The sequence below is a fragment of the Homo sapiens genome, chromosome 13, assembly GCF_000001405.40.
Source record: "Homo sapiens chromosome 13, GRCh38.p14 Primary Assembly".
NCBI classification, from domain to species: domain Eukaryota; kingdom Metazoa; phylum Chordata; class Mammalia; order Primates; family Hominidae; genus Homo; species Homo sapiens.
In genome coordinates this window covers 40715925-40737503 of record NC_000013.11, presented here as the reverse complement: position 1 = coordinate 40737503, position 21579 = coordinate 40715925, and the positions used below count along the sequence as shown (strand labels likewise).

The following is a 21579-nucleotide window of genomic DNA, read 5'->3' as shown; positions in this document are numbered from 1 at the left end:
GTGTGGTGTGGTGCTGAAAAAAATGTATATTCTGTTGATTTGGGGTGGAGAGTTTTGTAGATGTCTATTAGGTCTGCTTGGTGCAGAGCTGAGTTCAATTCCTGGGTATCCTTGTTGACTTTCTGTCTCATTGATCTGTCTAATGTTGACAGTGGGGTGTTAAAGTCTCCCATTATTAATGTGTGGGAGTCTTAAGTCTCTTTGTAGGTCACTCAGGACTTGCTTTATGAATCTGGGTGCTCCTGTATTGGGTGCATATATATTTAGGATAGTGAGCTCTTCTTGTTGAATTGATCCCTTTACCATTATGTAATGGCCTTCTTTGTCTCTTTTGATCTTTGTTGGTTTAAAGTCTGTTTTATCAGAGACTAGGATTGCAACCCCTGCCTTTTTTTGTTTTCCATTTGCTTGGTAGATCTTCCTCCATCCCTTTATTTTGAGCCTATGTGTGTGTCTGCACGTGAGATGGGTTTCCTGAATACAGCACACTGATGGGTCTTGACTCTTTATCCAATTTGCCAGTCTGTGTCTTTTAATTGGAGCATTTAGTCCATTTACATTTAAGGTTAATATTGTTATGTGTGAATTTGATCCTGTCATTATGATGTTAGCTGGTTATTTTGCTCGTTAGTTGATGCAGTTTCTTCCTAGTCTTGATGGTCTTTACATTTTGGCATGATTTTGCAGCGGCTGGTACCGGTTGTTCCTTTCCATGTTTAGCGCTTCCTTCAGGAGCTCTTTTAGGGCAGGCCTGGTGGTGACAAAATCTCTCAGCATTTGCTTGTCTGTAAAGTATTTTATTTCTCCTTCACTTATGAAGCTTAGTTTGACTGGATATGAAATTCTGGGTTGAAAATTCTTTTCTTTAAGAATGTTCAATATTGGTCCCCACTCTCTTCTGGCTTGTAGGGTTTCTGCCGAGAGATCCGCTGTTAGTCTGATGGGCTTCCCTTTGAGGGTAACCCTACCTTTCTCTCTGGCTGCCCTTAACATTTTTTCCTTCATTTCAACTTTGGTGAATCTGACAATTATGTGTCTTGGAGTTGCTTTTCTCGAGGAGTATCTTTGTGGCGTTCTCTGTATTTCCTGAATCTGAACGTTGGCCTGCCTTGCTAGATTGGGTAAATTCTCCTGGATAATATCCTGCAGAGTGTTTTCCAACTTGGTTCCATTCTCCCCATCACTTTCAGGTACACCAATCAGACGTAGATTCGGTCTTTTCACATAGTCCCATATTTCTTGGAGGCTTTGCTCGTTTCTTTTTATTCTCTTTTCTCTAAACTTTCCTTCCTGCTTCATTTCATTCATTTCATCTTCCATTGCTGATACCCTTTCTTCCAGTTGATCGCATCGGCTCCTGAGGCTTCTGCATTCTTCACGTAGTTCTCGAGCCTTGGTTTTCAGCTCCATCAGCTCCTTTAAGCACTTCTCTGTATTGGTTATTCTAGTTATACATTCTTCTAAATTTTTTTCAAAGTTTTCAACTTCTTTGCCTTTGGTTTGAATGTCCTCCCGTAGCTCAGAGTAATTTGATCGTCTGAAGCCTTCTTCTCTCAGCTCGTCAAAGTCATTCTCCATCCAGCTTTGTTCCGTTGCTGGTGAGGAGCTGCGTTCCTTTGGAGGAGGAGAGGCGCTCTGCTTTTTAGAGTTTCCAGTTTTTCTGTTCTGTTTTTTCCCCATCTTTGTGGTTTTATCTCCTTTTGGTCTTTGATGATGGTGATGTACAGATGGGTTTTTGGTGTGGATGTCCTTTCTGTTTGTTAGTTTTCCTTCTAACAGACAGGACCCTCAGCTGCAGGTCTGTTGGAGTACCCTGCAGTGTGAGGTGTCAGTCTGCCCCTGCTGGTGGGTGCCTCCCAGTTAGGCTGCTCGGGGGTCAGGGGTCAGGGACCCACTTGAGGAGGCAGTCTGCCCGTTCTCAGATCTCCAGCTGCGTGCTGGGAGAACCACTGCTCTCTTCAAAGCTGTCAGACAGGGACATTTAAGTCTGCAGAGGTTACTGCTGTCTTTTTGTTTGTCTGCGCCCTGCCCCCAGAGGTGGAGCCTACAGAGGCAGGCAGGCCTCCTTGAGCTGTGGTGGGCTCCACCCAGTTCGAGCTTCCTGGCTGCTTTGTTTACCTAAGCAAGCCTGGGCAATGGTGGGCGCCCCTCCCGCAGCCTCACTGCCGCCTTGCAGTTTGATCTCAGACTGCTGTGCTAGCAATCAGCGAGACTCCGTGGGCGTAGGACCCTCTGAGCCAGGTGCGGGATATAATCTGGTGCGCCGTTTTTTAAGCCCGTTGGAAAAGCGCAGTATTCGGGTGGGAGTGACCCGATTTTCCAGGTGCCGTCCGTCACCCCTTTCTTTGATTAGGAAAGGTAACTCCCTGACCCCTTGCGCTTCCCGAGTGAGGCAATGCCTCACCCTCTTTCGGCTCGCGCAAGGTGCGCGCACCCACTGACCTGCGCCCACTGTCTGGCACTCCCTAGTGAGATGAACCCGGTACCTCAGATGGAAATGCAGAAATCACCCGTCTTCTGCGTCGCTCAGGCTGGGAGCTGTAGACTGGAGCTGTTGCTATTCGGCCATCTTGGCTCCTCCCCCGCCTAGCGTTATTTGGGGTTTTTTGAGACAGGGTCTCACTCCGTCACCCAGACTGGAGTGCAGTGGCAGGATCATGGCTCACTGCAACCTCGAATTCCTGGGCTCAAGTGATCCTCCCATCTCAGCCTTTCTAGTGAGGAGAGGACCACAGGCACACCACCATGCCTGGCTAATTTTTTTTTCTAAAGACGAGGTCTCACTATGTTGCCCAGGCTGGCCTCAAACTGCTGGGCTGAAGTGATCCTCCTGGCTTGGCCTCCCAAAGTGCTGGGATTACAGGTGTAAGCCACTGTTCCCAGCCTGGAAAACTGTTTAATGGTAAGACAAAAAATTACTATATATTCTTTCCTGTTCCCACTGAAAGTTAACAATTGCTTTATTTTTCTTCCTATTTGCTTTGTTTTTCCTTGAGTCTCTAGCTAAGTTTTCCTACATTTCATACAGCCTCTCAAATTCACATGCACAAAAATATTGAATTTCCTGTTAATTTTGTTTTTTGTCCATGGGTACCTGGAGCTGTCTGTCTGTAGCTGTCATCTATACCTAGGTCTTCTGGCACAACTGTCTTCCTATCATTTTGCCCTCCTCCTGGGACTTCTGTCCCTTCTATGTTGGATACCCTTTCTTTTTGGACCACATATTTTCTACTCTATCTCATTTTGTTGAAGCACATGCTTTGAGACCCTTGATATATAAAATATCTTTCCTCTGTCTTGGTACTTTTTTAATGGTTTACTTGAGGATAAAAATCAAGATTGGAAATAGTTTTATTTCACAATAAGCCTTTGCTCCATTGTCTTTCTTGCTTTGTCACCCAGGCTGTAGTGCATTGGCATGATCTTAGCTCACTGCAACCTCCACCTCTCAGGTTCAAGCTATTCTCCTGCCTCAGCCTCCCTAATAGCTGGGATTACAGACATGAGCCGCTGCACCTGGCCTTTTTTTTTTTTTTTTTTTTTTGAGTCAGAGTCTCACTCTGATTGTCCAGGCTAGAGTGCAGTGGCACATTCTTGGCTCACTGAAGCCTTGACCTCCCAGGCTCAGGTTATTTCCCACCTCGGCCTCCCATACAGGCGCCCACCACCATGCCTGGCTAATTTTTTATATTTTTATTAGGGACGGGGTTTTACTATGTTACCCAGGCTGGTCGTGAACTCCTGCACTTAATAAGCAATCCACTCGCCTCATCCTCCCAGAGTGCTGGGCTTACAGCCATGATCCACGTGCCCAGCCACTCCACTGTCTTATGTTGTTGAGAATGCTTTTGCCATTTTTTCCATTCTTATCCTAGATTCATTGTATGTGATCTCTTTTATTTATTTTTTGGTAACTTTTAGCATCTTCTCTTCATAATATTCATAAGTTTCAGGAGGGTTATCCTTGGAAAGGGATTTTGTTTACAATCATTGTTCTAGACATTATTAGATAATTTTAATCCAGTAACTTCATTTTTCAATTCTGGGTAAATTTTCTTGTATCATTTGATAATTTCGGCCTCCCAATCTTTTTCTTTTTCTCCTTTTGTTCTATGCTCCGGGGACATTCTTTAACTATTATCTTACAATCTCTCCATTGGATTTTTGTTGCCATATTTTTAACTTCCAAATGCTTCATTGGGCTGGGCGCGGTGGCTCACACCTGTGATCCCAGCACTTTGGGAGGCCGAAGCAGGCGGATCACCTGAGGTCAGGAGTTTGAGACCAGCCTGGCCAACATGGTGAAACCCCATCTCTACTGAAAATACAAAAATTAGCTGGGCATGGTGGTGAGTGCCTGTAATCCCAGCTACTCAGGAGGCTGAGGCAAGAGAATTGCTCGAACCCAGGAGGCAGAGGTTGCAGTGAGCTGAGATTGCACCATTGCACTCCAGCTGGGCAACAAGAGTGAAACTCCCTCTCAAAAAAAAAAAAAAAAAAAAAAAAAAACCAAATGCATTGTTGCTGTTCTTCTTCTTTTTAGTGTTAGATTTTTTTTCCCCAAAGTGTTGAGATTACAGGCGTGAGCCACTGTGCCTGGCCCAGTTTCATTCTCTTGAAGGCTCTGGGCTGTAAATGTCACACATCACTTCTGTTTAGGTTCTGCTGGTAATAATTTAAACATATGCTCATGCCTAACCCAGAAGGGGCTGGGAAATGTAATGTTGCTCAACAGCCATGTACAGGTTTTTTTTTTCTTCTTTTAAGAGGTGTAGTGTCACTCTGTCACTCAGGCTGGAGTGCAGTGGTGTGATCACAGCTTACTGCAGCCTCAAACTCCTGGGCTCAAGTGATTGATCCTTCTGCCCCCAGCGTTCCAGGTACTAGGACTACAGGTGCACACCACCACACCTGGCTAATTTTCAAATGTTTTGTAGAGATGGGGTCTCACTTTGTTGCTCAGGCTGGTCTTAAACTCCTGGCTTCAAGCTATCCTCCTGCCTCGGCCTCCCAAAGTGCTGAGATTATAGACATGAGCCACCATCCCCTGCCCATGCACATGTTTAGTTCTTTTACCAAGATAAAAAGCCAGAATGGATTTGAGAGATAGGTATCAGTTCCTGCCAAGGTGTCTGTCACTTACGCTAGACACTTTCTTAAAATGTCTACTGTTCTTTGAATGTTTGTTTATACTTGAGAGGAAGGCCATGAAAAGCTGTTTGTTAAATGCATGTGAATGGATGGGACTAGTTAACTGGTGGCTTCATTTGAGAGGAATTGGGAAGGAACGTCTTCATTTAAGGACCTCTGTAACTCCATATTTATAATTCTTACTGAGTTTCTCCAATGAGAAATCTTCCAACCGCTTGACTTGAGGCTACAGGCCTTGGCTGTAAGATAATTTAGAATGTTTAGAATGTCTTTAGCAAATAGAGGTTTAATTTGTACATAGCTCTGTAGCCTTTTTCTATTTATCTAGAACTTATTTTTGTATATAGTATACCCTCTTTATTGCTCTCTTTTTTTTTCCTTTGCATTATATGTGCCAGTACCACTTGGCTGTCATTCATTCATTGATTCATTCATGAAAGATCTATTCATTCTGCCCTCCTGGAGCATTCTAAGTTAAAAAGACTGTTGATCTACTTTATCTGATATTCATACAGCCAGTTATACTTTGAAAAAAATTAATGTACCAAGATAACATTAACCGTCCTTTTTACTTTCAATCTACCTATGTGGTGTTTAAGGTGAATTTCTTATGAACAGCATATAGTTGGTTTATGTTTTTATATCCACTGTGCCAGTCTCTGTCTTTTAATTTGTATACTTAGATTATTTACATTTAAAGTATTATTTTCTGTTCATTTTCTCTATCTCTCTTTCCTCTGTCTTTTCTTTTTTCTTTTTCTTTTTTTTTTTTGGACAGAGTCTCACTTTGTTGCCCAGGCTGGAGTGCAGTGACGCAATCTCAGCTCACTGCAACCTCTGCCTGCCAGGTTCAAGCAGTTCTCCTGCCTCAGCCTCCCGAGTAGCTGGGACTACAGGCACATGCCACCGTGCCCAGCTAATTTTTGTATTTTTAGTAGAGACGGGGTTTCACCACGTTGGCCAGGCTGGTCTTGAACTCCTGACCTTGTGACCTGCCCCCCTACCTGCCACCCCCAGCCTCCCACAGTGTTGGGATTACAGGCATGAGCCACCACACCCGGCCTCCTCTGTCTTTTCTTGGCTTTTTTTTTTTTTTTTTTGAGACAGGGTCTCACTCTGTCGCCCAGGCTAGAGTGCATGGTATGATCACAGCTCACTACAGCCTCGACCTCCCAGGCTCAGGTGATCCTCCCACCTCAGCCTTTCAAGTAGCTGGGACTACAGGCATGTGCCACCACACCTGGCTAATTTTTTGTAGAGACAGGGTTTTACCATGTTTCCCAGTCTGGTCTTGAACTCCTGGGCTCAAGCAATCCCCCTGCCTCAGCCTCCCAAAGTGCTGGGATTATAGGTGTGAGCCACGGCACCTGGCCTCTTAGCTTCTTGTGAGCTGCCTGAACATTTTTCACAATTCCATCTTATTTATGTATTTTAAAATATAATTTTTATAGTGTTCTTGATGGTTGCCGTTATTTATGAAAATATTCCTTAGCGGCCGGACGCAGTAGTTCACACCTGTAATCCCAGCACTTTGGGAGGCCGAGGCAGGTGGATCACCTGAGGTCAGGAGTTCAAGCCAGCCTGACCAACATGGTGAAACCCCATCTCTACTAAAAATACAAAAATCAGCTGGGCGTGGTGGCAGGCGCCTGTAATCACAGCTACTGGGGAGGCCGAGGCAGGAGAATCACTTGAACCTGGGAGGTGGAGGTTGCAGAGAGCCGAGATTGCACCATTGCACTCCAGCCTGGGCGACAAGAGTGAAACTCTATCTCAAAAGAAAAAAATAATCATTGGCAATAATTGCTATCCTATTGATTGATTGATTGATTCAGAGTGTCACTCTGTTGTTCAGGCTGGAGTGTAGTGGCTTGATCTTGGCTCCCTACAACCTTTGCCTCTTGGGTTCAAACAATTCTTATACCTCAGCCTCCCAAGTAGCTGGGATTACAGGCACATGCCATCACGCCTGGCTAATTTTTTTGGTATTTTTAGTGGAGATAGGGTTTCACCATGTTGGCCAGGCTTGTCTTGAACTCCTGACCTTGAGTGAGCCGCCTGCCTCGCCTCCCAAAGTGCTGGGATTATAGGCGTGAGCCACCACGCCTGGTCTTGCCACCACATTTTTAACATTTACAGCATGCTAGGCATTGTAAATGAACTTTATATATAGTTTGTGTCTGTTTGATCTTTACAAAAATGCCAGCAAGGTGCTATTTTAGTTCTCATTATTATGCTTGAGGAATCTGCTGCTCAGAGAAGTTAATTAATTAGTCCAAAGTCACTGTTGTTAAATTGGTGGGCAAAGTTAGATCTAACTCCGGGCCAGGCGTGGTGGCTCACTCCTGTAATCCCAACACTTTGGGAGGCCGAGGCGGGCAGATAACTTGAGGTCAGGAGTTCGAGACCAGCCTGGCCAACATGGCGAAACCCTGTCTCTACTAAAAATAAAAAAATTAGCTGGGCGTGGTGGTACATGCCTGTAGTCCCAGCTACTCGGGAGGCTGAGGCAGGAGAATCGCATGAAACCCAGAAGGCAGAGGTTGCAGTGAGCTGAGATCGTGCCACTCCACTTCAACCTGAGCAACAGAGCAAGACTCCATCTCAAAAAAAAAAAAAAAATGCAACCTAGGTCTAACTCCAAAGTTCATGCCTTAAACTGTAATATTATATTACCTCATTAATATTATTTTTATGATGTAGGTTTTGTATTTAAAATTATAATGTAATGTATTTGGTCTCATTTCCTAGGTTTTGATGATGATGGTTCAGAATTTCATGAACATATATTTCTGGAGAAACACCTGGAGAGCTTTCCAAAACAAGGACCAATTCGCCACTTCATGGAGCTGGTGACTTGTGGCCTTTCCAAAAACCCATATCTTAGTGTTAAACAGAAGGTTGAACACATAGAGTGGTTTAGAAATTATTTTAATGAAAAAAAGGATATTCTAAAAGAAAGTAACATACAGTTCAATTAAGACCATGGAAATTTTTATTTCAAACAATTAGAGATGGATATTACAACTAAATAAAATAATTTTACTAGAGTTTGTATATGTTATGTTGATTATTACATTTGATTTGGCTGGTATAAATGTTACATTGTTTTCAAAAATATGATGGTAACTGAAAAATATTCTTGCATGGAGAAAAATCATCAGTATTCATAGGTTCAAAAGAATATCTGGGAATTAGTAATACATTTAAGACAACAACTCCTAACCTTTTTCTTTTCACTCGGTGACCATACTTCTTTGAAATACAATACAATTACTGGATGATATCACAGTACTATGTTATAAGAGTTGAGATGATTTATAGACAGATATATATGTACATACGTTTATTTGTTTACATTTATACATATATTTTACACTAAATTAACTACCCTCACCTAAGTCTGGGTCACTATAGAGAAATTAATCTTGTAGAAATAAAGGGTTTATTCTAATCCATTCTAGTACTTTAGGTCTTCATGCCAAAGTTAGAATTATTTCTTTTCCATTATGCTGCTGAGCAGCGTGACTCAACTTTCATACAATTCAAAGGATTGAGGGCTGGGCACAGTGGCTCATGCATATAATCCCAGCACTTTGAGAGGCCGAGGCAGGAAGATCACTTAAACCAACGAGTTTGAGACCAGCGTGGGCAACATAGGGAGACCCTGTCTCTACAAAAAATTAAAAAATTAGCCGGGCGTGGTAGCATGCACCTGTAGTCACAGCTCTTCAGGGGCCTGAGGTGGGAGCATCCCCTGATCCTAGGAGGTTAAGGCTTCAGTGAGCTCTGATTACACCACTATGGTCTAGCCTGAGTGATAGAGCAACTCTGTCTCAAGAAAAAAAATTTTTTTTTTTTATTCTTTTTTAGCAGAGCCTTGCTCTGTCACCCAGGCTGGAGTGTAGCGGCGTGATCTCGGCTCACTGCAACCTCCACCTCCAGGGTTCAAGCAATTCTCCTGCTTCAGCCCCTCAAGTAGCTGGTATTACAGGTGCCCACCACCACACCCAGCTAATTTTTTTGTATTTTCAGTAGAGACGGGGTTTCACCATGTTAGCCAGGCTGGTTTTGAACTCCTGACCTCAAGTGATCTGCCTGCCTTGGCCTCCCAAAGCTCTAGGATTACAGATGTGAGCCATGGCACCTGGCCTAAATTTTTTTTAAGGTTCAAGGATTCTAAAAAAACTCAAAACAAGATTTAGTTGACAGTGGTCCCAAGCTAATAGTGTTCCAGGTCAACAGGAACCGTGTGAAGGAATCCACCATAACAACAGCCTTCAAATGACAAAACACACAAGGAAGCAAAACCATGAATGTGTACCAGCAGAAACGAGAACAGAATCAGACTCATAAAGCCTCTGAATATTGGGCTTATCAGAGTCAGAATATAAAATATGTGTAAGATAGAATGAATATTGAGCAGGATGCTTTAAAAGTGACCAAGCAGATTTGAAAAACATTAAAAATGTTGGCCTTCTCGTCCCAGTTCTTCCCAAAGTTGAGAAAAGCTGGGTTGAGAGGATGAAAAGAAAAAAAAAGAAAAATTTAGTGGAGTTTAACAGCAGTAAAGAAGTATCCATATGCAGCAGAGAGAAGCAAAGAGGAAAGAAATAGGAAAGGAAAGTAAAAGAGTAACATTTGTACAATCGTATTGCCAATAGGAAAGAAAAGAGAAAATAGGTCAGAGGCTAACTCTAAATAATTGTTTTTTTTTTTTCATTTTTTTAATTGAGACAGAGCCTCGCTCTGTTGCCCAGGCTGGAGTGCAGTGGCATGATCTCAGCTCACTGCAACCTCCGCCTCCCAGGTTCAAGCGATCCTCTTGCCTCAGCACCCCCTAGTAGCTGGGATTACAGGCACGTGCCAACATGCCTCGCTCATTTTTTTTTTTTTTTCTGAGATGGAGTCTCACTCTGTTGCCCAGGCTGGAGTGCAGTGGCGCAATCTGGGCTCACTGCAAGCTCCGCCTCCTGGGTTCACACCATTCTCCTGCCTCAGCCTCCCGAGTAGCTGGGACTGCAGGCGCCCACCACCACGCCTGGCTAATTTTTTTGTATTTTTAGTAGAGACAGGGTTTCACCGTGTTAGCCAGGATGGTCTCAATCTCCTGACCTCATGATCCGCCCCCCTCGGCCTCCCAAAGTGCCGGGATTACAGGCATGAGCCACTGCGCCCGGCCATGCCTGGCTAATTTTTGTATTTTTAGTCGAGACGGGGTTTCGCCATGTTGGCCAGGCTGGTCTTGAACTCCTGACCTCAGATGATCCACCCACCTCAGTCTCCCAAAGTGCTGGATTACAGGTGTGAGCCACCGTGCCTAGCCTCTAAATAGTTAATGGGTGAGAGTTTTTTACAATTCATGAAAGATACTAATTCACAGTTAATCAACAATCCCTTGGCCAGGTGTGGTGGCTCATGCCTGTAATCCCAGCATTTTGGGAGGCAAAGGTGGGCAGATCACTTGAGGCCAGGAGTTTGAGACCAGCCTGGCCAACATGGCGAAGCCCCATGCCCGGCTAAAAATATAAAATGTAGCCGGGCATGGCGGTACATGCCTATAGTCCCAGCTACTTGGGAGGCTGAGGCATGAGAATTGCTTGAACCCAGGAGGTGAAGGGTGCAGTGAGCCAAGATCACCCCACTGCACACCAGCCTGGGTGACAGAGTGAGACTCTGTCTCAGAAAGAAAAAGGCAAAAACAACAATCTGTTGGTCATGTATAGAAACTGCTCCCAATAACAGCAGAATACATTTTTTTTTCCAGTACACATGAGACACTGAAAATTTTTTATTTTTATTTGGGTGTTTAGTTTGTTTATATTTACCACAGTTACTGATATATTTGGAATGTCTTTCAGAAATGAGGGCTAAATGCATTTGTCAAACAAAAACAGTTGGCTACCAGCAAACTTTCATTAAAAGACTCCTAAAGTTGTACGTCAGGCAGAAGAGAAATGATTTTAAATTTAAGGCCTGAGATGCAAGAAGAAAATGGCAGATGAATAAAGCAGTGAGTATGCTGCTGGCTCACTCTCTTTCAGCAGTGTGCTCTGCCTCAGTGTTCAGAGTATGTCTTTATAAACTCTCTGCTCTCTATTGCCCTTCAATAAGCTGTCTGCTATTAAAAAAAAAAGTAGTGAATATATATTTTAATTCTAAGCACTAATAAAACAGTCATACCATATGGAATTAATTAAAATACATGACAGTAGAATATGTCCAAGTGGATTATTTATTTATTTATTTATATTTTTATTTATTTATTGAGACAGCTTCGCTCTTTTTGCCCAGGCCAGAGTGCAGTGACACGATCTAGGCTCATCACAACCTCCGCCTCCCAGGTTCCAGCAATTCTTCTGCCTCAGCCTCCCGAGTAGTTGGGATTACAGGCACACACCACCACGCCTGGCTAATTTTTTATTTTTATTAGAGAAGGGATTTCACCTTGTTGGCCAGGCTGGTCATGAACTCCTGACCTCCAGTAATCCACCTGCCTCGGCCTCCCAAAGTGCTGGAATTACAGGTGTGAGCCACTGCACCTGGCTGGGTTTTTTTAAATGTCAAGTGATAACACTATTTACTGGAGTTATATGTAAAGCAAGAATACAGAAAGGTTGAAAGTAAAAGGTAAGCTGGTATAGCTATATTAATATCAGGAAAAAAATAGTCTGAAAGACATTAGAAACTTAAAAAAATTCTGTTTATCAGAAAAATACAAAGTTGTACATACCTAATAACATGACTCAAAATATACAAGGCAAAAGCTGATAGAAATACAAATAAATATACCATTATGATAAAATATTTTAACGTAATAATTGATGAACTCAGCAGACAAACAGAAGCTTTGCTATACCTAATTATCTTGACCTAATGGAAATTTGTAGACCATTACACAGTGATCTAAATAGCTGCAAATACATTTATTTCAAGCACACATGTTGATAAATCAATCATAAACTTAGTCATAAAGCATATCTAGACACATTTCAATGGAATGTAGAACATGTTTTCCAATTACATTGCAAGTAAGTTAGAGACCAGTAACTGAACGCTAATCAGGAAAACTCCCTATGTTGAGAAATTTTAAAACCCTTTTAACTTATTCATAGGCCAGTGAAAAAAATATTCAGGCCAGGCGCGGTGGCTCACGCCTGTAATCCCAGCACTTTGGAAGGCCGAGGCAGGCAGATCACCTGAAATCAGGAGTTCAAGACCAGCCTGGCCAACATGGTGAAACTTTGTCCCTACTAAAAAATACAAAAATTACCCGGGTGTGGTGGCACATGCCTGTAGTCCCAGCTACTTGGGAGGCTGAGGCAGGACAATCGCTTGAACCTGGGAGGTGGAAGTTGCAGTGAGCCGAGATTGCGTCACTGCACTCCAGCCTGGGCGACAGAATGAGACTCCATCTCAAAAAGAAAAAAAGAATGAAAATCAATGAAGTAAGGTTATAATCTTAAGATATAAGAAAAGGAACAAGTGGTGTTTTTTTTTTTTTTTTTAAATCTGTTCTGTTGTTGTTGGTGGTGGTTTTTTTTTGAGACAGAGTCTTGCCCAGGCTGGAGTGCAGTGGCACATGGCTCACTGCCGCCTTGACCTGGGCTCAAGTGATCCTCCCACTGCAGCCTCCCATGTAGTTGGGACCACAGGCTCACACCACCATGCATAGCTAATAATGTTTTCGTTTGTAGTCTCACCATGTTGTCCAGGCTGGCCTTGAGCTCCTGGGCTCAAGCTATCCTCCTGCTCAGCCCCACAAAGTGTTGAGATTACAGGTGTGAGCCACCATGCCTGGCCTACATGAAATATATGCTTATTTGGTTTTGATTTTTACACTTTTATGATGTCAAGATGAACTCCCATTAACCCCCCAAAAAGGAACATCCTACTAGCTTCACATTACAAATGGAATATTAACACAATATAAACAGAAAACTGAGATGGGGTGATTAGGAGATCTAATAAGAGTAAATCTTAAAGGGAAATAGAATGAAATGTCTAAGGTAAAGGCAGAAGTTAATAGAAATAGTATAATAGGATCCATAAAGTCAAACACGGATTCATTTTTAAAAAAACAAATGCATTTCTGTCCAGATTTATTTTTTAAAAAAGCTGGGTACAGTTGCTCACATTGTAATCCTTGTGACTTGGGAGGGAAATGGAAGGATTGCCTAAGCCTAGGAGTTGGAGGCTGCAGTGAGCTATGATCGTGCCACTGTACCCCATCCTGAGTGACAGAGCAAGACCCCGTATCTGAGGAAATCATTTTTTAAAAAAAACTTTAAAATGTGAATAACTATTGATGTAAAAATTAAGATTTATTTTTCAAGAAGCTATTATGAACAATTTCGTGGCAATAAATTTCAAAATTTCATGGGCAAATTACTCAAAACTATGTTAGCAAAAATAATTTTAAAGGAAAAATGGAACAATCATTAAAGAAATTTGATGGATATTTTAAAATCTTCCCAGAAAACAAACACTAAACCCAGAGAAGTTTTCAGGAACGTTCTACTGAACATCCAGGAAAAAAATAATTCCAATTTTATATAAATTATTCCAAAACATAGAAAAAGAGGAAGCACTCTACAATTAATCATGAAGACAAATTTGAAAAATCCAAAGGAAGATAGTAAAGCAAATTCAGCAATGACTAGAAATCATTATCAAGCTGAGTTTGTTCCAGAATATCAGGGCAGTTTAACAATGGAGGAAAAAGATCATATCTCAAAAGATGCAGGAAAAAAGGTTTGGTAAACCTTGGCAGCCATTGATAATTTTTTTAAAATAAATTTTAGAAAGCTTGGAGTAGAGAACTTTTTTAACCTAATAAGTGGCATTTACAAAAAGCCTACAACAAATATCTTACTTTATGCTGAATTACGAAATGATTTCCTTTAAGATTATAAACAAGAACAGGATAATCACTATCATGATTTCAGCATTGTACTGGGGGCCTAGCCTATGCAGAATAGCAAGAAAAAAGGTGATTAGGATTGGAAATCCACCCTATAGTAACCCCAAGTAAATCACAACCTCTCTTTGAGTGTGGATGAGACCTGAGACTTGCTTTCAACGATAGAATATGGCTAAGGTGATGGGGTAGTCACTCCTTTGACTGGTTCATATTATATGGCAAAAGTAATGGAATAGTTACTCTTGTGATTATGTGATGTTACAGAAGACTCCTTGTTAGCGGACTAGAGTGCACTATCATGTTGTAAAAAGGCCTGTGAATGAGCCACCTGTCAAGAAACCTTGGGGACCACTAGGAGCTGATGGAAACCCCCAGCTGACAGCCAGAACAATGCAGGGACTCCATCCTACAGCCTCAGATAGCTGAATCCTGCCAACAACCACCTGAACTTAGAAGAGGACACTACATTTTAAAAAGGACCACAGTCTGGCTGTCACCTTGATTACAGCCTTGTGAGACCCTGAGCAGGAGACCAACAGAAACTGTGAGTTAATAAGTACATGTTTTAAGCCACTAAGTGTGAGGTAATTCATTATACACCAGTAGATAGCTAATAAAGGAAGAAAGAGACAAACCTAATTAGAGACTAGATTACATAGAAAACAAAAGAATATCTATAGCTAAATCATAAGAATTAACAATTTATTTGGCACTTCTGCAGTTGCATTTCTGTATGCCAGCAACAAACAGGTAAAAATGTAATTTATAAAAAGTTAACATTTACAGTAGTATCAAAAATATAAATAAATAAAATCTTAATAAAATATATGCAAGAACAGGCTGGGTGCAGTGGCTCACACCTGTAATCCCAGCACTTTGGGAGGCCGAGGTGGGCGGATCATGAGGGCAAGAGATTGAGACCATCCTCGCCAACATGGTGAAATCCTGTCCCTACTAAAATACAAAAAATTAGCCGGGCGTGGTGGCATGTGCCTGTAGTCCCAGCTACTCGGAAGGCTAAGGCAGGGGAATCGCTTGAATCCGGGAGGCGGAGGTTGCAGTGAACCGAGATGGTGCCACTGCACTCCAGCCTGGCAACAGAGCAAGACTCCATCTAAAAAAAAATATATATATATACACATATATATGTATATGTGTGTGTGTATATGTATATGTGTGTGTGTGTGTGTGTGTGTATATATATACACACAAGAACATTATGAAGAAGTTTTAAAACTTTAATGAAACAGGTTAGTAATAAAAATAAATAAAGAGATTTAGGCTGGGCACGGTGGCTCAAGCCTGTAATCCCAACACTTTGGGAAGCCGAGGCCGGCAGATCACCTGAGGTCAGGAGTTCAAGACCAGACGGGTTAACATGGCAAAACCCCATCTCTACTAAAAATAACAAAAGTTAGTTGGGCATGGTGGCACATGCCTGTAGTCCCAGCTACTTGAGAGGCTGAGCTGGGAGGATTACTTGAACCTGGGAGGTTGAGGTTGCAGTGAGCTGAGATTACGCCACTGTGCTGCAGCCTGGGTGACAGGACGACTCTGTCTCAAAAATTAATAATAATAAAGAGATTTAATTGGGTAAATAAGTTCTAGAATAGAGGCTCAATATCATGAAGATGTTACTTTTTTCCATATTAATCTCTAGATTTAATGCAGTTCCATACAAAATTCCAACAGGATGTTTTTTCTTTTTTGAGATGGCGTTTTGCTCTTGTTGCCCAGGCTGGAGTGCAATAGCACAAGCTCGTCTCACTGCAACCTCCGCCTCCTGAGTTGAAGTGATTCTCCTGCCTCAGCCTCCCAAGTAGCTGGATTACAGGTACGTGCCACCATGCCTGGCTAATTTTGTACTATTAGTAGAGGCAGGGTTTCACCATGTTGGTCAGGCTGGTCTTGAACTCCTGATCTCAGGTGATCCATCCGCCTCGGCTTCCCAAAGTGCTGGGATTACAGGCGTGAGCCACCACACCCAGCACCAATAGGATTTGTCATGGAATGTCATAAATGTATTGTAAAATCATAGGGAGAAGCAAAGAACCAAGAAGAACCAAAATACTCTCGAAAAAGAGGACAAGGTGAGGGAGTTGCCCTAACTTGTAAGCTATCAAGACTTATTATAAAGCTATAATAATTAGACATGATACACACAGATAGTTAAATGGACTGATGGAACAGAATAGAGAACACAGAAATAGAACATTATTATATGGAAATTTGATATGTGACAAAATCAGTGCTATGGGTTTGTATTAGTCCATTTTCATACTGCTCTGAAGAAATATCCAAGACTGGGTAATTTATAAAGAAAAAGAGGTTTAATGGACTCACAGTTCCACATGGCTGGGGAGGCCTCACAATCATGGCGGAAGATGAAGGAGAAGCAAAGGCACATCTTACATGGTAGCAGGCAAGAGAGTGTGTGCAGGGAACTGCCCTTTATAAAACCATCAGATCTCGTAAGTCTTATTCACTGTCACAAGAATAGCATGGGAAAAACCCACCCCCATGATTCAGTTACCTCCCATCGGGTCCCTCACATGACATGTGGAGATTATGGGAGCTACAATTCAAGATGAGATTTGGATGGGGACACAGCCAAACCATATCAGGTTTGAACGTGCCCTCCAAAACTCGTGTTGACCCTTAATCCCCAATGTGGCAGCATTGAGAGGTGGGGCCTTTAAGAGTTGATTGAATCATGAGGGCTCTGCCCTCAATGTATTAATCCACTCATGGATTAATGAATTAATGGACTGTCATGGGAGGGCACCAGTGGCTTTATAAGAGGGAGAATCTTTAGCATAGCATGTGAGCACGCTCAGCTACTTCAGAACTTGGTAGAGAGTCCCCACCAGCAAGGAGGCTCCCACCAGACATGGCCCTTTGACCTTGACATCTCAGCTTCTATAACTAAGAAATAAATTCTTTTTCTTTATAAATTACCCAGTTTCGGGTATTCTGTTATAAGCAACAGAAAATGGACTAAGATAGGTGGCATTGTAGATCAATGGGAAAAGGGTGGCTATTCAATAAATGGTGCAAAGACAATTGGTTATCCATACGGAGGAGGAAAAAATGGATTCTCTGCTTCATACCATACATACAAAAAAATCCAATTCCGTTGGATTTATGATTTAAATGAGAAACAAAATTTAAAATATTTGAAGCAGGCTGAGTGCAGTGGCTCATGCCTGTAATCCCAGCACTTTGGGAGGCCAAGGTGGGCGGATCATTTGAGGTCAGGAGTTCAAGACCAGCCTAGCCAACATGGTGAAACCCTGTCTCTACTAAAAATACAAAAAATTAGCCAGACATGGTAGTGTGCACCTGTAATCCCAGTTATTCAGGAGGCTGAGGCAGGAGAATCACTTGAACCTGGGAGGTGGAGGTTGCAGTGAGCCAAGATCACACCACTGCACTCCAGCCTGGGCAGCAGAGGGAGAAACTCTATCTCAAAAAAAAAAAAAAAAAGCTTGAAGCAAAATATAGGAGAATATCTTTATGGCTCTGGTGTAGGCAAGGATTTAAGATATCAAAAGCACAATCTCTAAAGAAAAGATGAATAAATTTGACTACGTTAAAATTTAGAACTTTTAATCAGAAAGGCAAAACCAGGAGTGAAAAGATAAGCATCAAACTTGGAGAAGAGAAATGTTCACATATAATCACTAAATGGTTAGTATACAGAAAATATAAAGAACTCCTGTAGCCAAAAGTACCATTTATAAATCTATGGATGGATGTTTTCTGAAGGTCCTTTGCCTGGAGAAAAAAATAGTGCATTAAAAAGCTTCTGTCCAAAACAAACAAACAAACTCCTAAAAATCAAGTAGAAGGGCTGGGTGCGGTGGCTCATGCCTGTAATCCCAGCACTTTGGGAGGCTGAGGTGACAAGAGCAAAACTCCATCTCAAAAAAAAAAAAAAAATCAAGTAGAAGACAAACAACCCAAAAACATAGTGGGCAAATGCCATAGCATTTCATACATTTCATAGAAGAAAAATAAAAAATTAGCTGGGCATGGTGGCGCGCACCTGTAGTCTCAGCTACTCGGGAGGATGAGGAGAATCTCTTGAACCTGGGAGGCAGAAGTTGCAGTGAGCTGAGATTGCGCCACTGCACTCCAGCCTGGTGACAGAGCAAGACTCTGGCTCAGAAAAATAAACAAGCAAACCAAAAACAAAACAAAACAAAACAAAAAAACATTCTACAGTGGCCTTCCTGTATTTTTATCTGCTTTTTTTCTGTTCTCTTCTCTGCTTTGGAGTCAGAAACTTCAGTTCAAATCCCTGCCATGTCAACATAACAATCTTTCAGCTTGTTTCCTCCTTCGTAAATGATGGGCATAATTTCCATCTCACAGGATTTCTAAGTGTTAGAATTGAATGAGGTAATGTATTAATACATACTACATGCTTCAGAAATACTATCCGTCTCATTCCACATGCTTGTCAGAACTCCAATGCCACAATGGATACAAAGTGAGCCATTTTCTTCACTGTCCACTATCAATTTGGGAATGGCAGCTTGCTGCTTTTACATTTTCAGATCTAGTTAACATTACCTTCCATCAGTGAAATAGAATACTTAATCTTTATTATGTATTTCCCTCATTTTCCAATATCTTTAAAGTCATTGTATCACTATTTTAAAATTCAATTTTGTGAACTCTTGCTTTTGCATGGAGGAAAATGGGATTGGTCAAACATTGAAATGGGATGATTGGTTCTCTGATTTCTCTGTATTCAGTCCTACACCTAATAGCTTCAAGCACTCTCCTAGGAAGACAGGACTCTGGGTATGTCCAAATAAGTAGACACTCTTAATGAGTTTTCTCTGTTGTATGCTGTAATATCTTTTTGAGTGTTCCAGAGAACTGAATAAAAGTAGATCTCTCCATATTAACTAAATGATGATAGCTAACATCTGTGTGGTACTTCGACTGCATATAAAGTGTTTTCACATATATCACTCATTCATTAATTTGTTAAGCATTTACTGAGCTCTGTTACGTGCTATGCCTCTACTAGACACCAGAGTATAGTATACTGAAGTACTCGTTGACCTTGAGGTGTCATCAAAAATGTGATTTCCCAAGAAAGTCTTCTCCTCCTGCTTTGTTAAGTCACTCTGCCCTTGTTATTGTCTAATACTACACTCTGTCTCCTTTACGGTATTTTCTGTGCTGATCTCCTTAAGGGTTGAGGTTGTGTGAGTTTCTGTCCCTTCTTGAGGTCCTGAATGTAAGACCTAGCTATTGCTAGGCCCAAAATAGGCACTCAGTAAAACCAGTTGAGTGAGTGGAAGAATGGATGAAGGCAACATACTCATAGGGAAGAGACAGGCCAAGATTTGTTGCTACACAGTGTGATGGGTGCCAAGGCAGAGAGGTGGGTTGAGGGCATTGTGTTAGTCTGTTTTAAGCTGCTATAACAGAATACCACAGACTGGGTAATTTATAAAGAATGGGAATTTGTTTCCTCACAAGTCTGGAAGTCAGGAAATCCAAGATGAAGGCACTAGCAGGTTCAGTTATCTGGTGAGGGTCTGGTCTCTCTGCTTCCAAGTTGGCGGCTTGACTGTTGCATCTTGAGGAGTGGGGGAGGAATGCTGTGTCCTCATGGAACAGAAGGCAGAAGGACAGAAGGGGATGAAATCTCACTGTCAAGCCGTTTTATGGCACCTAATCCCATTCACAAGACAGGAGCCCTTGTGGCCTAACCACCTTTTAAAGGCCCCACCTCTTAATACCATCAATCACATTAGCAACACCTAAGTTTTGGAGGAGACACACTCAAACAATAGCAGGTATAAAAGACAAGCATTTAATCAGACTATATGTCAGTTGATAATTTTCCTTCCCTGCAGGAGACCTGTCTATGAGTGGCTGAAGAACTGTTTAATTCTGGGGTATAGAATTAAGATGGCCGTCTGCCTGCAAGTAGAGATAAGCTGCATTCTCCCAAATCAGCTTTGTTCATAATAAAAGTAATATTCTGGCCTCCTTATACCATACTCTTTATTTATTTATTTATTTATTTTTAATTTTATTTATTTATTTTTTTGAGATGGAGTCTTGTCTGTGGCTCCAGGCTGGAGGGCAAAGGCGTGATCTCAGTTCATTGCAACATCTGCCTCCTGGTTTCAAGTGACTCTCCTACCTCAGCCTCCCGAGTAGCTGGGACTACAGGCATGTACGACCACGCCCAGCTAATTTCTGTATTTTTAGTAGAGGCTGGGTCTCACCATGTTGGCCAGGCTGGTCTCCAACTCCTAACCTCAGGTGATCCGCCTGCCTTGGCATCCCAAAGTGCTGGGATTACAGGCGTGAGCCACCGCGCCCAGCCTATTATCTATTTCTTAAACAGTTCACAACTTGGTTCAAGAAGAGGTAGGCTATCTATTGCCCCATCCTCTACTTTTTTTTGTTTTATTTTGTTTTGTTTTGAGACAGAGTCTCACTCTGTATCCCAGGCTGGAGTGAAGTGGCACTGTCTCGGCTCACTGCAACCTCCGCCTCCTGGGTTCAAGTGATTCTCCTGCCTCAGCCTCCTGAGTAGCTGGGATTACAGGCATCTGCCACCATGTTTTTTGTATTTTTTTGTATTTTTAATAGAGGTACAATTTTTTGTATTTTTAATAGAGGTGGGGTCTCACCATGTTGGCCAGGCTGGTCTTGAACTCCTGACCTCAGGTGATCCACCCGCCTCGGCCTCCCAAAGTACTCAGATTACAAGCGTGAGCCACCGTGCCTGGCTGACTTCTTTTTTTTAACTAAATACCTAATTGTTATGTTATTCTTTTGTCTGTTATTGCTCTCCTTAACACATATAAAATAGACCAAACTGACATGATCATATTTTAGAAAAATAAATTTTCTTTTTTGGAAAAGGAAATGGAAAAAAAGATAAATGGCTTAAATTAAGAAAAAAAAATTAAAAATGGCTTAAATTGTCCACTTATCATAGCATAGAATTAGAAATCCCAGTCTTTGTGGCTGCCAAAAAAAAAAAAAGAATAAATGGCCAAAAAATGAAATGAAATCAAATCAAAGTCTTTCATGACTCTCTTCCTAATATTATTAGTATGAGAAAACTTAATAATTCTGAAAATAAAGATGTAAATTGCTGCAGAATGTACAATAGGATAAAGTCATAATAGCCAAAATGTGGAAACAACCCAAATGTTCATCCATGGATGAATGGATAAACAAAATGAGGTATATATGTACAATGGAGTATGATTCAGCCTTAAAAAGAAGTGCAATTCATGGCGGGGCATAGTGCCTCAAGCCTGTAATCCCAGCATTTTGGGAGGCTGAGGTAGGTGGATTATGAGGTCAGGAGTTCAAGACCAGCCTGGCCAATATGGTGAAACCCCGCCTCGACTAAAAATACAAAAATTAGCTGGGCGTGGTGGCGCACACCTGTAGTCCCAGCTGCTGGGGAGGCTGAGGCAGGAGAATTGCTTAACACCTGGGAGGCAGAGGTT

At 41.9% G+C, this 21579-nt stretch overlaps 1 protein-coding gene and 1 non-coding gene across 2 annotated transcripts in view, besides 1 other annotated feature; both read left to right on the top strand.

Moving 5' to 3' along the window:
* The window catches only part of MRPS31 (mitochondrial ribosomal protein S31), a 42063-nt gene extending 33687 nt beyond the window's left edge, over positions 1 to 8376 (top strand). Inside the window, exon 7 of the mRNA NM_005830.4 lies at positions 7903 to 8376. Coding sequence (NP_005821.2) covers positions 7903 to 8132 — 230 coding nt within the window. The 3' untranslated portion in view covers positions 8133 to 8376. The remainder of the gene's footprint in view (positions 1 to 7902) is intronic.
* Positions 2438 to 3021: an enhancer, noted in NCBI's record as "H3K27ac-H3K4me1 hESC enhancer chr13:41308619-41309202 (GRCh37/hg19 assembly coordinates)". NCBI's record gives its function as "activates a minimal SCP1, AML or CMV promoter by ChIP-STARR-seq in naive H9 embryonic stem cells {active_cell/tissue: H9 hESC(naive)}" and the evidence as "EXISTENCE:reporter gene assay evidence [ECO:0000049][PMID:30033119]".
* Positions 8377 to 9616: 1240 nt separating the features above from the next.
* MIR320D1 (microRNA 320d-1) lies at positions 9617 to 9688 on the top strand. Its single transcript, NR_031723.2, has one exon. It is a non-coding gene; the product is annotated as a microRNA 320d-1 (primary transcript).
* Positions 9689 to 21579: the final 11891 nt, after the last annotated feature.